The sequence below is a fragment of the Homo sapiens genome, chromosome 7 (genome assembly GCF_000001405.40).
Source record: "Homo sapiens chromosome 7, GRCh38.p14 Primary Assembly".
In the NCBI taxonomy this organism is placed as follows: Eukaryota; Metazoa; Chordata; class Mammalia; order Primates; family Hominidae; genus Homo; species Homo sapiens.
The window spans coordinates 25,681,336-25,693,846 of NC_000007.14; the positions used below are offsets into that span (position 1 = coordinate 25,681,336).

The 12,511-nt window shown below is 41.6% G+C and overlaps 1 long non-coding RNA gene and 1 pseudogene across 8 annotated transcripts in view, besides 1 other annotated feature; both read right to left on the reverse strand.

The window, feature by feature from the left end:
* Positions 1 to 12,511, reverse strand: part of LINC03007 (long intergenic non-protein coding RNA 3007) — a 196,819-nt gene that overhangs the window by 88,035 nt on the left and 96,273 nt on the right. The window lies entirely within an intron of this gene.
* Positions 7,956 to 8,457: an enhancer, noted in NCBI's record as "H3K27ac hESC enhancer chr7:25728911-25729412 (GRCh37/hg19 assembly coordinates)". NCBI's record gives its function as "activates a minimal SCP1, AML or CMV promoter by ChIP-STARR-seq in naive H9 embryonic stem cells {active_cell/tissue: H9 hESC(naive)}" and the evidence as "EXISTENCE:reporter gene assay evidence [ECO:0000049][PMID:30033119]".
* Positions 8,161 to 8,653, reverse strand: UBA52P1 (ubiquitin A-52 residue ribosomal protein fusion product 1 pseudogene 1; annotated as a pseudogene).

The following is a 12,511-nucleotide window of genomic DNA, read 5'->3' on the forward strand; positions in this document are numbered from 1 at the left end:
CAGTTTTGATGAATTTTTCTTCATCTCTGCTTATGAGATACATGAATAAAGATTAATTATATATCATGACAGTAAAACTAGGCAACTCTGTATATATACAAACGTGGTTATCAGCCTTTTTGTTTGTACCCTTATTGTAGCAGATATCCAATGCCTGGAATTAGAAGAGTTCACGGCATATGCTTGTCCTCTGCCATTAGACTGTGAAGTGCTTGTCCTCTGTCATTAGACTGTGAAGTGCTTGCAGCACCTTTACATCCTCTGCAGTACCTAGCTTCATGCAGCAGTTGAGGAAAAGCAAGTGTGTTGGACTCGCATGGACTTGGCCTGAAATTTTGAATAGCTGTGTAATTCTAAGTGAATTACTTAATCTTGCCAAGTCTCAATTTCCTCATCCAAAAAAAAACAGGGATAATAATACATACCTCTTAGGTTGTGCTGAAGATTACATTAAATAGTGTATAAGGCTGATAGCAAGTGGGAGCTGTGACTAAGTCATAGTGACACAAGTGTTAAGTGCTCAAGAAATACCTAATCAAATGGAGTTTTCAAGAAGCAAGACCCCCATGTCCATAATCTATTAATTATCCTATATATCACTAGGTCCCCTCTCTAAGATATTGAGTCATTTGTTATTTGTTCAGCCAAAAAGCATTAAGCATACATTACCTGCCAAGTGTTAAAAGAAGCTAGGGATACTGAGATATATTTGACATAGTCCTTGCCCTCACGGTGATTAGAATCTAGTAAAGAAACAGAAAGGTAAACCAGTAAGTGCTATAAAAAGTTATAGATGCTGTGCTAGAAGTGTTCTAGAATTCACGGAGTTCCCAAAGAAGGGAGTAGTCTGCTCTACTTGGAGCAGGTGTGAAGATGGCAAAGTCATGAAAGTCTTCAAGAAGTGGTGATTCTCAAACTGAGACTTGAAAAATAGATTGGTATGGGGCAGGCAAACCATCCTCAGCACAAATTAGTGTGAGCAGAGGCAATGGAAAGAAGTGCATTAGGCTGGTTTTGGGGGGAAACAGTAAATAATTCCTCATGGCTTAGGGTCAACAGAGGAGAGGACACCTGGGTGAGAGTTTGAGTTGGAAATGGGGTATAGGCCACCTAGGGAGGTTAGTCTTGATTAGTGGCAGGGAGTTTACTCAGCAAATTCCAGTCACCATCCAAGGGAGACGGACAGATACCCAGAGAAGGAACGAGGTGACACCACAATGGCCTGGTTTTCTACTATCCAGAGACAATGGAGCAATGTCTATACATCTAGGTTATAGGGCCCTGGTCTTGTGCACTCTCACAAATCCCCAGCAATATTCCATGTTCTGGTCCATCCCTTCCACTAACAGGCGTCACCCACCTGGTGTTTCCCTTTCCTTAGGAGTCAGTTCTCTGCTAGATGATAGTTAATTGTATAATTTTTAAAATCTCAAACATCTCAGTACACATCAGTGTACATTATTTATCCCAAGTTATAGACTTGCACTTGAACAGGGACTTTCTGGGCTAATACTTTAAACCAAATGGACAAAAACTCTAGTGGTAGAATTTCAAGCACTCTGGCACCTCTGTGAATGTGAGATTTTTGTACAGGAAAGTGGTGTTTTACCACCAGTCTTAGGCTGTGGGATCAGCTCCTTCCTTCGTGTTTGTGGCCAACAAAAGGGTTTACAGAAAAAGAAAATAATTTGCCCTTGCAAAGACTGTGAAAACAGTCATATTTATAAGCACAATTACATACACTTCTGACTCTATCTCAGTGGCCAGTATATGGTAGCTGCCTAACATATGACCAAAGAAGGAAGAAGAAAAAAGAAAGGGAGGAAAGAAGAAAGGAAATAAGGTTGTCCATAATCTTTTTTAACATGGCTTCCAGCATAAAACTTGGTAACTAAAAACAGATATTTTTTCATTCCTAAGGGGGCAGGGCAAGGGACATAGATATCCAATTTATTACCACTAAGATTTTTATCCTAAAATTTGAAATATTTTGAGTGTACAAAAAGCTTCATGTTGTATGCTCTTTATTGGATGCATGGATCTATGTTTATGGAAAGTTTTAACGGTTGCAAAGTCAAATTGCAAAAACGATTCATTTTTGTAGAGATCTTGATATATCATACTGCATTCTAATAAAATTTTCAATACTGGCAGTAACGTAGATTATAATACTAATGTTTCCCACGGGATCCCATGATCATAACTCCTTTGGTAAATGTCCTAGAGTTAAGGTGAATGCACCAAAGAGCTGTAACTCACTGACATTTAATATTGGCTAATGCAATATGAAAAATTCGGCAGCAAATACAGGCTGTAGAGAAACACTCCTTCAAGATTTGGAGTCCATGTCACTCAAAAAATGTTTTCTCCTCATATTCTGAGATTAATGCAGTTCTGACACTTTCCTCACAGATACACGATGATTTAGGAAAGACAACAAGAAAGTCATGGAGATAACAGATGAATGGGACCTTCAAGCAGTAACATTGTGACAAGAAATGAAACTTGAACTCTTTGAACAGAATTTTTCCAGGAAAGCCCTTTCAAACTCTTGAAAGGGAAACATCAAAGTCTGAAGGGCAGATATGAAAAAAGTTTCCCCTCTTACACCAAAGTGACACAAATTCAATCTGACACACATTTATAGTGAATTTTGTGTGCCAACAAAGATAAAAAGGAAAAGGATACGTGGTTGTCCTCAAGGAACTTATTACAATTATCTCTCATCTGACTGGGACCTCTGTTTTCTGAATATTGTTCCCTTCTATCCTCTGCCTACTTCAAAAAGGACTGAAGTGGTACAGGATTTTTCAAAGTACTCTTTAAGATGCTCAATTTCTGTCAAAATATTAGGAAACACAAATGGTAACTGCCATGAGAAAACATTTTTTCACCAATCAGTGTGGCAAAGATCAAGAGGTTTAAAAACAGAATCTGTTGGTAAGAGCGTGGAGCAACAGGCACTCTCAGACATTTCTGGTGGGCATGGAAAGAGATATGACCATTACAGAAAGCAACCTGGTGATGCTTACCTGAAGTTTAAATTCATTACAAGGTGATCCAACAACTCTTCTTCTGGAAATTTATTGCCCTTTACAAGTACTTTACTCGTGTGAAATGATGGATGTTAGGTATATTTGTGGCACCACATATATTCTGAATATGTCCATAGGCACATGCATATTGACACATATATTCTGAATAAGCAGAAGCTATAATAACTGAGGAATCTCTATATGAGCTCATACGGAACCAGAGCCAGATATATTTCTAGGAGAAACAAACAAGGTGCAGAAAGACCTTATGGTGTGTTCCTATTTACATTTAAATAGGTGCTGTGGGTGTGTGTATAGAGAAAGAGCCATGTTGTGCATAAAACATCTCTGGAAGACGACACAAGAAACTGAACACGGTGGCTCCTCTAGGGAGGGTGAGAGGGTGGCTGGGTCCCTGGGATAGAAGGGAGACTTACTGTTCATTATCTACCATCCTTTTGTATCTTTTGTACTAGGTGCCTCTATTACCAATTCAAATAATTAAATTTAAAGGGAAGGTTTCTAGAAGGGCATGTTTCCAAACCAGAGAGCTGAGTGAATGCACAATGCACACTATTAAACTAGTCATTTCTACAAGGCCCTACCACTTTTGAAGGCCATCAAATAGAAGGAGTTCGTTCTGGAACACAAGTCCTAAAACTAGATCCCCACAGACAGAATTGGGGTGACTCTGTCCAGGGGTCTTTGGGACTCACTTCCCAGGTCAGCATTTTGGGACGCCAGTGCCCTCTTTCTGCCTTGACTGTTGCCACCTTGAGGAAAAGCTCAGTTCCTCGGATTTCTGCGTCCATCAGCACCCTCAGCTGCGCTCTGTGCACCCCTGTCATCGGGGTGCCCCATGGCCTTCCTCACCCATGCTTGGTCCTGTCTCCATGTCCTCAAGCCCCACCCATCCACCTGGAGATCACAGGCAGTCCTAGCCACCATCCCCCGGGATGTTTACTACCTTCTGTCTCCCGCTGCTGCTGAGGAACACTCTCTGTGACAGGACATCTCAGTTATAGCATTTTTTTCATTGCATTTATTTGTTTGTCTCCCCAAACGGAATGTGAATTCCCTGGAGAGGGATCTGTTCATCTTTGTTTCCCCACAAGAGCCATTCAGTTGAGATGTTTAATAACTGACCATCAGCTGAAGAGCTGCTTCAAAGCTGGTGCCCCCTGTGCCTCCTGTGCCCTCTGTACACAAAACATTAGCCCCCACTGCCCAGCAGGGCCCAGGGATGCCAACCCTTTGGGGACTGTGCCGGCCCAATGGCAAAGGAGTTGCCTTCTTCCCAAAAGGTCCGTCCTGCCCCACCCTTCCAGAATTCACTCTCAGGCTTGGAACTGAAAAGAAGCCCCATGCTGTGATGGAAAAACAGGGTAGCTGTTCCACCAATTCATACTCTTTATTACATACCATGTTACACCCAACACCAGGACACAGTTTGACCTGCAGCTGAGGGCATTTCCCCTAGCCCACTTTCCTTCCCAGGGCCCCCAGTCCCCTGACGTTGCCTGAGAAGTTCCTGCTCAGGGCAACCGACCAGCAACAGTGTCCCCTTAGCTCCCTGAATGTCCCAAAGAGACAACTCCTGGACTCAGCAGCGGGCTGTCTTGTTTCCAAAGCCCACCCTCTGAGAACGGAAGCTCTGCCTTGGTTCTATGAAAACACAGTCAGTCCTGGCATTTTGAAAATGAAATTTCCCTGGAGGATACTTCACATCAACACGCAACTGTGCAACTTTCTGCCACACTTTCACCCCGACACCTTGGGAGTGGTGCTGCTGGTGCCTCTAGCACCTGCTTCCCTGTCCTGCCACCTGGATAAGAAACAAAGTGCAGTAGCCACATGCCTTATAGGGGCTGGTGTGGGGGTGGGAGTCCTCAGGATCGGCTTGGCTTAAACTAGGATTCAGAGTCTGGCCATGTCTAGAGAACTTCTGAATCAAAGGGGTTTGGTGTTCATTGGCATGAGGAGTGAGACCTGGAAGAAGGAAGGTTCATGCTTCAGGGCCCTGAGCAGAGGCACCAATGCCCCAGGAGAGACGACAGAGTGGCTCCAGCACAGTGAGTCCGGAAGGGGGCCTGGGATCTTCTGGCACCACTGGAAGCTCTGACAATTGGTGTTCAAGGCAGCCACGGGGAAAGAGGGCATGAAAGTCCCCAGGAAACAGCATTCTCAAGTGGCTTTGCAGGAAACAGACACTAACAAGGAAACCTAAGTAAAGAACCTGTGAGAACTGTCCTGAGCCCATGTGAAACACAACCATAAATAAAATCAGGGCAGAGGGCAGAGGCACTTCTGTCATGCAGCCGGACACAGTGAGGCAGCCAAGTCTGATGGTTCATGTCAAGGTGGCAACCTTCCTACACCAGGAAGAAGAGGCCTGAGGAATTTCAGGCTACAAAAGCAACTTGCAGACGTCAAGGGTACTGAAAACTGAATCGACAGTCTTTCATCCCTGAGGATGACAGCTCCCAAAATGTAGAACATAGTCTGCCTCAGGCTCTCCTGCCCCACCAAGTTCACTCCTGCCCTTCCCAGAAATGAGGTATGCAGGGACCAGTGAAATGCCAGCCCTTGCCCTTGTTTCTGCTGCTCTTAGAAATGACAGCTTGTCTTGACTACAGACACCTCTCCGGATGCACCCAGAGCCTCTGTCTATTATGCAAAGGGAATATAACTCTTGATAAGAGGAAATAAATCTGATCACCCAAAGCAGAAGCCAAAACCAGAAGGGTGATGGTGGTTTTCCAGCAGTGAAGAAATCCACGGCTTGATTTTTTTTTTTTTTTTTGAATATACATTCCAGATGTTTAAGAGAAATCTACAAGCCACATTTCTAGATTCCAAACTGGCCTCTCTGTTCATCTCCTCTCTGCCCTAAGCAACTCTCCTCTCTGTAGTTGAGTTAATTTCCCCCAAAGCCCACTTTGTTTATTTATTTGCTGAAGAGGTTCTCCAGTCATCACACATTTGCTTTCAGAACTGGGTGGACTGAACCAGTATTTCCAGGACTATCCCCTGCTAAGCTTCAGGCTCATCTGTTCTCCAAAAAGCATTTTTCCATCTTTGTTCTTGTTGCCTGTCACTCACCCCATACCCATAGTCATCTGTGGATATCTTGCCATCTTTCAAAATCAAACTCAACACCACCTCTTCCAGGAAGACCTTCCTGATTCTTCCAGTAGGAATTGATCTCTCTCTCTCTCTCTCTCTCTCTCCCGAACTGCTACAGGCCCTTGTTGTCTCTGCTCCTTTCGCGTGATTCCTCTCACATTGCTTTGTGTTATGTTTGCTTTCCAAACAGGCTGTGCTCCCAAGGAGTGAGTTGTATTTTGGATTTTCTGTACTACAAATTTTCTGGTATCTCACAGTACTTAGCATTACACCTCACATGTAATATAGACTTGCAGCCTTTAGACTGCAAGGGGCCTGCTATGGACTAAATTGTATTCCCCCTCAAATAATTAATATTTTGGAGCTGCAACCCCCAATGTGATGGTATTTGAATATTAGACCTTGGGGAAATAATTAGGTTTAGATGAGATCATGAGGGTGAGATCCTCACGATGGGACTGCTGTCCTTTCAAAAAGAGACACCAGCTGGGTGTGGTGGCTCATGCCTCAAATCTTAGCAATTTAGGAGGCCAAGGCGGGTGGATGACTTGAGTCAAGGAGTTCAAGACCAGCCTGGGCAACATGATGAATCCCTGTATCTACAAAAAATACAAAAATTTAGCCAGGCATGATGGTGTGCGCCTGTGTTCCCAAATACCAGAAAGGCTGAGGCGGGAGGATCTCCTGAGCCCGGGAGCTCGAGGCTGCAGTGAGCTGAGGTTGCACCACTGCACTCCAGCCTGGGTAGCAGAGTGAGATCCTATCTCAAAAAAAAAAAAAAGTGGGGGAGAGAGAGAGAGAAGGAGACACTAGAGGTTTTGCCAACTGTCTGTCTGTCTCTGCCGTGTGAATGCACAGTGAGGAGATGGTCATCTGCAAGCAAGAAAGGGAGCCCTCAGCACAACCTAACCATGGTGGCACCCTCATCTCACACTTTCCAGCCACCAGAACTGTGAAAAAGTACGTTTCTGTTGTTTAAACTCCCAATCCACCTATGGCACTTTGTTATGGCAGCCTGAACTGACCAAAACAGGCTGTCCACTGAGCCGGCCTTTTAATTTTCTACAGTGGTTAAGTACCAGGTCCAAAGCGACACAGAGCAGAGCAGGGATCAAAACCCAGTCAGTCTCCTAACCCCCAGCCCACAGCTCAAGCAAATAGAACAAGCTTGCCAAATAACACAGAATGAAAGAAAAGGCCCAAAGCAATAAGTATATTTTTCTTAGACATGTCCATATCTTAAACTCTTTTTATCCTAGCTTTGAAAAAACAAACCGAAGGTCCAAGGGGACTTCCAGCAAGGTCTGAAATTGAGAATTTGGCTTAAAAGACTGCAAGGGATGAAGAAAAGACCGGGAGAAGGCTAACTATTTGGTTAAGACAATATCATATTACAGAGTTATGAATTATGCAAATGAAACCACGGGATTCACAACCTCATGAGATTTCTTGTACCTACACAAAAAACTGTGTGAACAAGCATTTCGGAGCTTTGCTTTAAAATCTTCTGTTACTACCACCCAGTTACACTAGCTATAGGGTTTTACATCTCATGAAGGGCTTCCACATATATCATCTCATGGAATACATGCAACAGCCAGCACAGGTATCACCATCTCCCTGAAGCAGAGTACACTCCTGAGCCTTAGCTCGCTAAGTGACCAAGCGAAGTCACAGAGTTGTTGGAACTGTGACTGGAATACCCTGTGTGTCTATGTGTGTGCAAGAGAGCGAGGGAGAGACATAAACAGAGAGAGAGAGTTGGGGTGGGATTGATCCCACTTCACTATATTTTCCCAAGACGGCATTCAAAGAAGTCCCACAAATGTTCCCCATCAGCAGGCAGCTGAAAGAAAATAAACCACCGATGAGAGCTCTGGGCTTAGCCGTTGTTCTGTCACCAATTCAGTATTGACTGGGGTGAGCCACTTAGCCTCTCTAGTTCTGTTTCATCAACTGCAAAAAAAAGGTGTGTTGAATTGTTTTGTCTTTTTTTTTGTCCAGTCAATGAAAGGGACACTTTATTGAGGCCCCAGGGCCATGGGGCCTGGGCAGGAGGCTGCCCTTGGGGGAAGGAAGAGCCTTATTTGATCTTCCTCTTGGGGCACAGGTTGTTGGTGTGGCCTCACTTCTTGCAGCAGTTGACAGCACGGGGGTGCAGGCAAGCACAGCACTTGCGGCAGATCATCTTGTCGCAGTTGTATTTCTGGGCAAGCTGGCAGAGGGCTCAATAATGCCACCTCACAGGTGCAGCCCCAGGTGCAGGATGGACTCTTTCTGGATGTTGCAGTCTGAGAGAGTACGGCCATCCTCCAGCTGTTTGCCCACAAATATCAGACATTGCTGGTCAAGTGGAACGCCCTCCTTGTCTTGAATTTCGGCCTTGACATTCTCAGTGGTGTCACTGGGCTCGACCTCGAGGGTGATGGTCTTGCCTGTGAGGGTCTTCACAAAGATCTGCATCTCTGCGTCTGTAGCTCAGCCGCCTCACTCTTGTTTTGCCTTTGATTCCCTTTAAGTTCAGACAATCTGTGGTTTTCTAAATTAGACAGTTAGATAAAAGATCAGGCCAAGTCACTTCCAAAAATGTCTGAGCTCTGGATCAGGTACTCAGGAGGAATATGTATTTTTTCATGATGTTTCTTCCCCAAACTCTTCATAGGGGAAGGGAGCAGAGACAAGACTGCAACTAGTCTGAATGCAACAAGAATTTAAGCCAGTGCTGTCCTTAAAAAAACTCAGCTTTAGTCATTGGCACCAATGTGGGCAACATGGCTTTGCAGGAAACCAGATCCAAGTATGCAGAAGATCAAAAGCTTTACTCCACTGAGACGAGCAAAAGGCACATTTCTCAGACATTCTTCTCTATGGAATTTAAGATCTTGTGACATCCTGCCTAATTTAGACCCTAAACACCATTAATTTCAGGCCAGTGACAGCCCCAGATCAATAAATACTCATATCATAGTAAATCAGAAAACAATGTTAATAGCACCAAAAATTGCTTTATATGGCAGCAACTGTATTTATTCACCATATGTATTACTAATAAAATACAGAGAAGGTAAGGGCTTAATATGTCATTCTGTGAGTTTTTATATTTAACACAGACTATTTTTAATCAAATTCAAAAGATTTCCTCAATGATCCCCTGGCTCTAGAGCAACTAAGAACATTCATCAAGAGAAAGACATTAGGGCAGGTTTTTAACAAATGAGAAATAAAGTCATTCTCTAGAAAAGATGAGGGTTTAAGACATAATTATTAGGTCTTGAAAGCCTTGAAATTAAAGCCAGTACTAATACCGGCTTTCAAGTCCCATATTGTTTAGTGGGTATATTAGTCAGGGTTCGTTAAAGGGACAGAACTAATAGGATAGATGTATATATAAAGGGGAGTTTATTAGAATTGACTCACACAATCACAAGGTGAAGTCACACAACATGCTGTCTGCAAGCTGAGGACCCAGGAAGGCAGTCTGAGTCCAAAAACCTCAAAAGTAGGGAAGCTGACAGTGCAGCCTTCAGTCTGTGGCCGAAGGCCCGAGAGCCCCTGGAAAGTCACTGGTGTAGGTCCAAGAGTTCAAAAGCTGAAGAACTTAGAGTCTAATGTTCGAAGGCAGGAAGCATCCAGCACAGGAGAAAGATGGAGGCTGGAAGATTCAGCAAGTCTTCTCTTTCCATGCCTGATTTTATGCTGGCAGCTGATTAGATGTTGCCCACCCGATTGAGGGTAGGTCTGCCTCTCGCAGTCCACTGACTCAAAGGTTAATCTCCTTTGGCAATACCCTCACAGACACACCCAGGGACAATAATTTGCATCCTTCCATCCAAACAAGTTGACACTCAGTATTAACCATCATAGTGGATAAAGTACAATACTTGCTTTCAAGTCCCATATTGCATAATTGTTGTATTTTGTATTAATTCATGTTGGCACATATTATGGAAATTTCAAGGACTCTCTACCAATGAGTTTCTCCTTATCAGCAGATGTCCATAAGGAAGATGGCAGGAAAACTCATTCATCAGAAGAAATGTAGCTCATGACTATGATCGCTTTCCCAGCTCCAGCACTGAAGTCCCAACTTCACAATTTTTTGCCTTTCCAATATACAACATTACCTACCTGGCATCTTACTTTATGTTCATACTAAACAATGAAATTGGTGAAATGGGAAGTTCAATATCTAAGTTACAGTTCTTTCCAAACACATTAAACTATATAATACCTATTTAAAATGTTTATTCCAGCACCCCTTAAAATTATGCATTATGCACTCACACAACAAGTTGATCTGTAACTTTCAAAGTGTGTTGACTGTAATTTGGGTTTCAGCATTCATCACTTATCAAATACTCAGTTAATATCCGCCCTATAGATATAAAATAAATACTCCACAGTCCTTGCCACAATAGTCACCATATAGTGACTATTATAGAGACAAACATTATATTATAATATAAAGACAAACATTATATTATAATATAAAGACAAACATTATATTATATTATACAGACAAACATTAAAATGAGTAATTACAGTAATGCAGCTAGTGGTTCAATAGAGATATGTATAGTCAATAAATGTCAATAAATATCTATTGACATTTATTCTATTAAATTTAAAACTGAGAATTTTAAGTATTTATTGTTCATTGAAATAACAATAAGAAATCCATTGTATGCTAACATAAATAACATTGTTATGAAAATGACTATATTTCAAAAAAAAAAGCAAGAAAGTTACTAAGTGAAATAAACCAGTCACAAAAAGACAAATACTATATGATTTCACTTATATGAAGTACCCAGAGTTGTTAAATTCAGATGTAAATTCAAGTAGAATGATGGTTGCCAAGGGCTGAGGGGCAGAGGGCGTAATCGGGAGTTATTGGTTAGCGGGTGTAAAATTTTAGTTTTGCAAGATGAAAAAAGTTCTAGGGATTAGTTGCCCAACAATGTTAATGTACTTAACACTACTGAACTGTACACTCAAAAATGATTAAGATGGTAAATTTTATGTTCATGTGTATTTTACCACAAATTTTTTTAATTTTAAAAATTTAGTAACAAGAATGGCATAGTTTTACAGTTTTATGCATCTTATAAATGTCTAGTTTAATAGAACACAGCTGGATTCTTATATCTGCTCCTACATTCAATCTGTTACAATATATTGTTTTGATGGAAGTTTATGAAGATTATCCAGCATCACACATATTTTTTTCTAACTGCGATTAGGTACTTAGAAAAGGAAGAGCATTTTGATAGCTTTATCTGATCATTGCAGATATTCTTTGGTATCACACCAAAACTTAACAAGTGGTAGCTTCTTAAAGGTTAGTTATAATGTGGAATCTGAAACTATACAAATTAACTGTTGCTATATTCTGTAACATTACCATCCACTGTTTACTTCCTACATTGAATGAATCTTTTACCTATGCATGATTTTGTAACATCAAGCATTGGTCATTGGGGAAATATTGGTTGACTCTGTTAGTTATGCAGTTTTCCAGATGTTGCCATATCTTACTTTATATCACAAAATTGCATGTGTTAATTTCACTTCTGGGCTCAGAAAAGTCTTTAAGTATCCTGAAGCTATCAAGCTCATGGTGGTGAATACAAAATCTCCAAGATTCTAATTTTCTCTTGAAAGCTCAAATTTTATTATTAGCCATAAATACTATCAGTGAGTTTCTTGACACAATAAGCACATTTTGTTTATTTTTGCAAAAATGCACCACTAAAAAGATCTGCCATGTCTAAGTATCTATCGTTTGTCTTATTCTTTCAAGTAAAAATGGGGCCCCATGAAAGAAAGGACTAGACAGCTCCCAGTTCAAACGATCAAACAGTGATAGCATTGTACTTCAGTGTGCAGAAGAAGGGCCTTGTGCTCATGTCTCATTTTGTCACACAGAATATGTTTTAAAATTTTTTCATAAGGGCCAAGGTTTAGAAAAATTAATAATTTCTTACTCCTTCATCAAGGACGTTGTTAAAAGAAATTGTCTTTTTTATCTCCCCAGAAATACATGGCAGTGAAGAACACAAGGACCACTAGCACAACTTGATTTTAACACTTTGATTCGTGCTAAGAAGCAGCAGTTTTCCTGCCATTGCTTCTGCACCATTAGCGCAAATGTCAGCACAGAAAGGCAAGTAACCTCTTAGTGTTAATATGAAAATACTTTGATGTCATGGGTTCCCAGAAAACAGTCCATGAACCACAGTTGGAGAGCCTCTGATCTAGAAGGTTCTTGACTCTGGAAACAAATTTCCTAGGACTGTGTCCTGGCTTTTTCATTAGCCATATGGTGTTAGGCAAATTACTAAACTTTA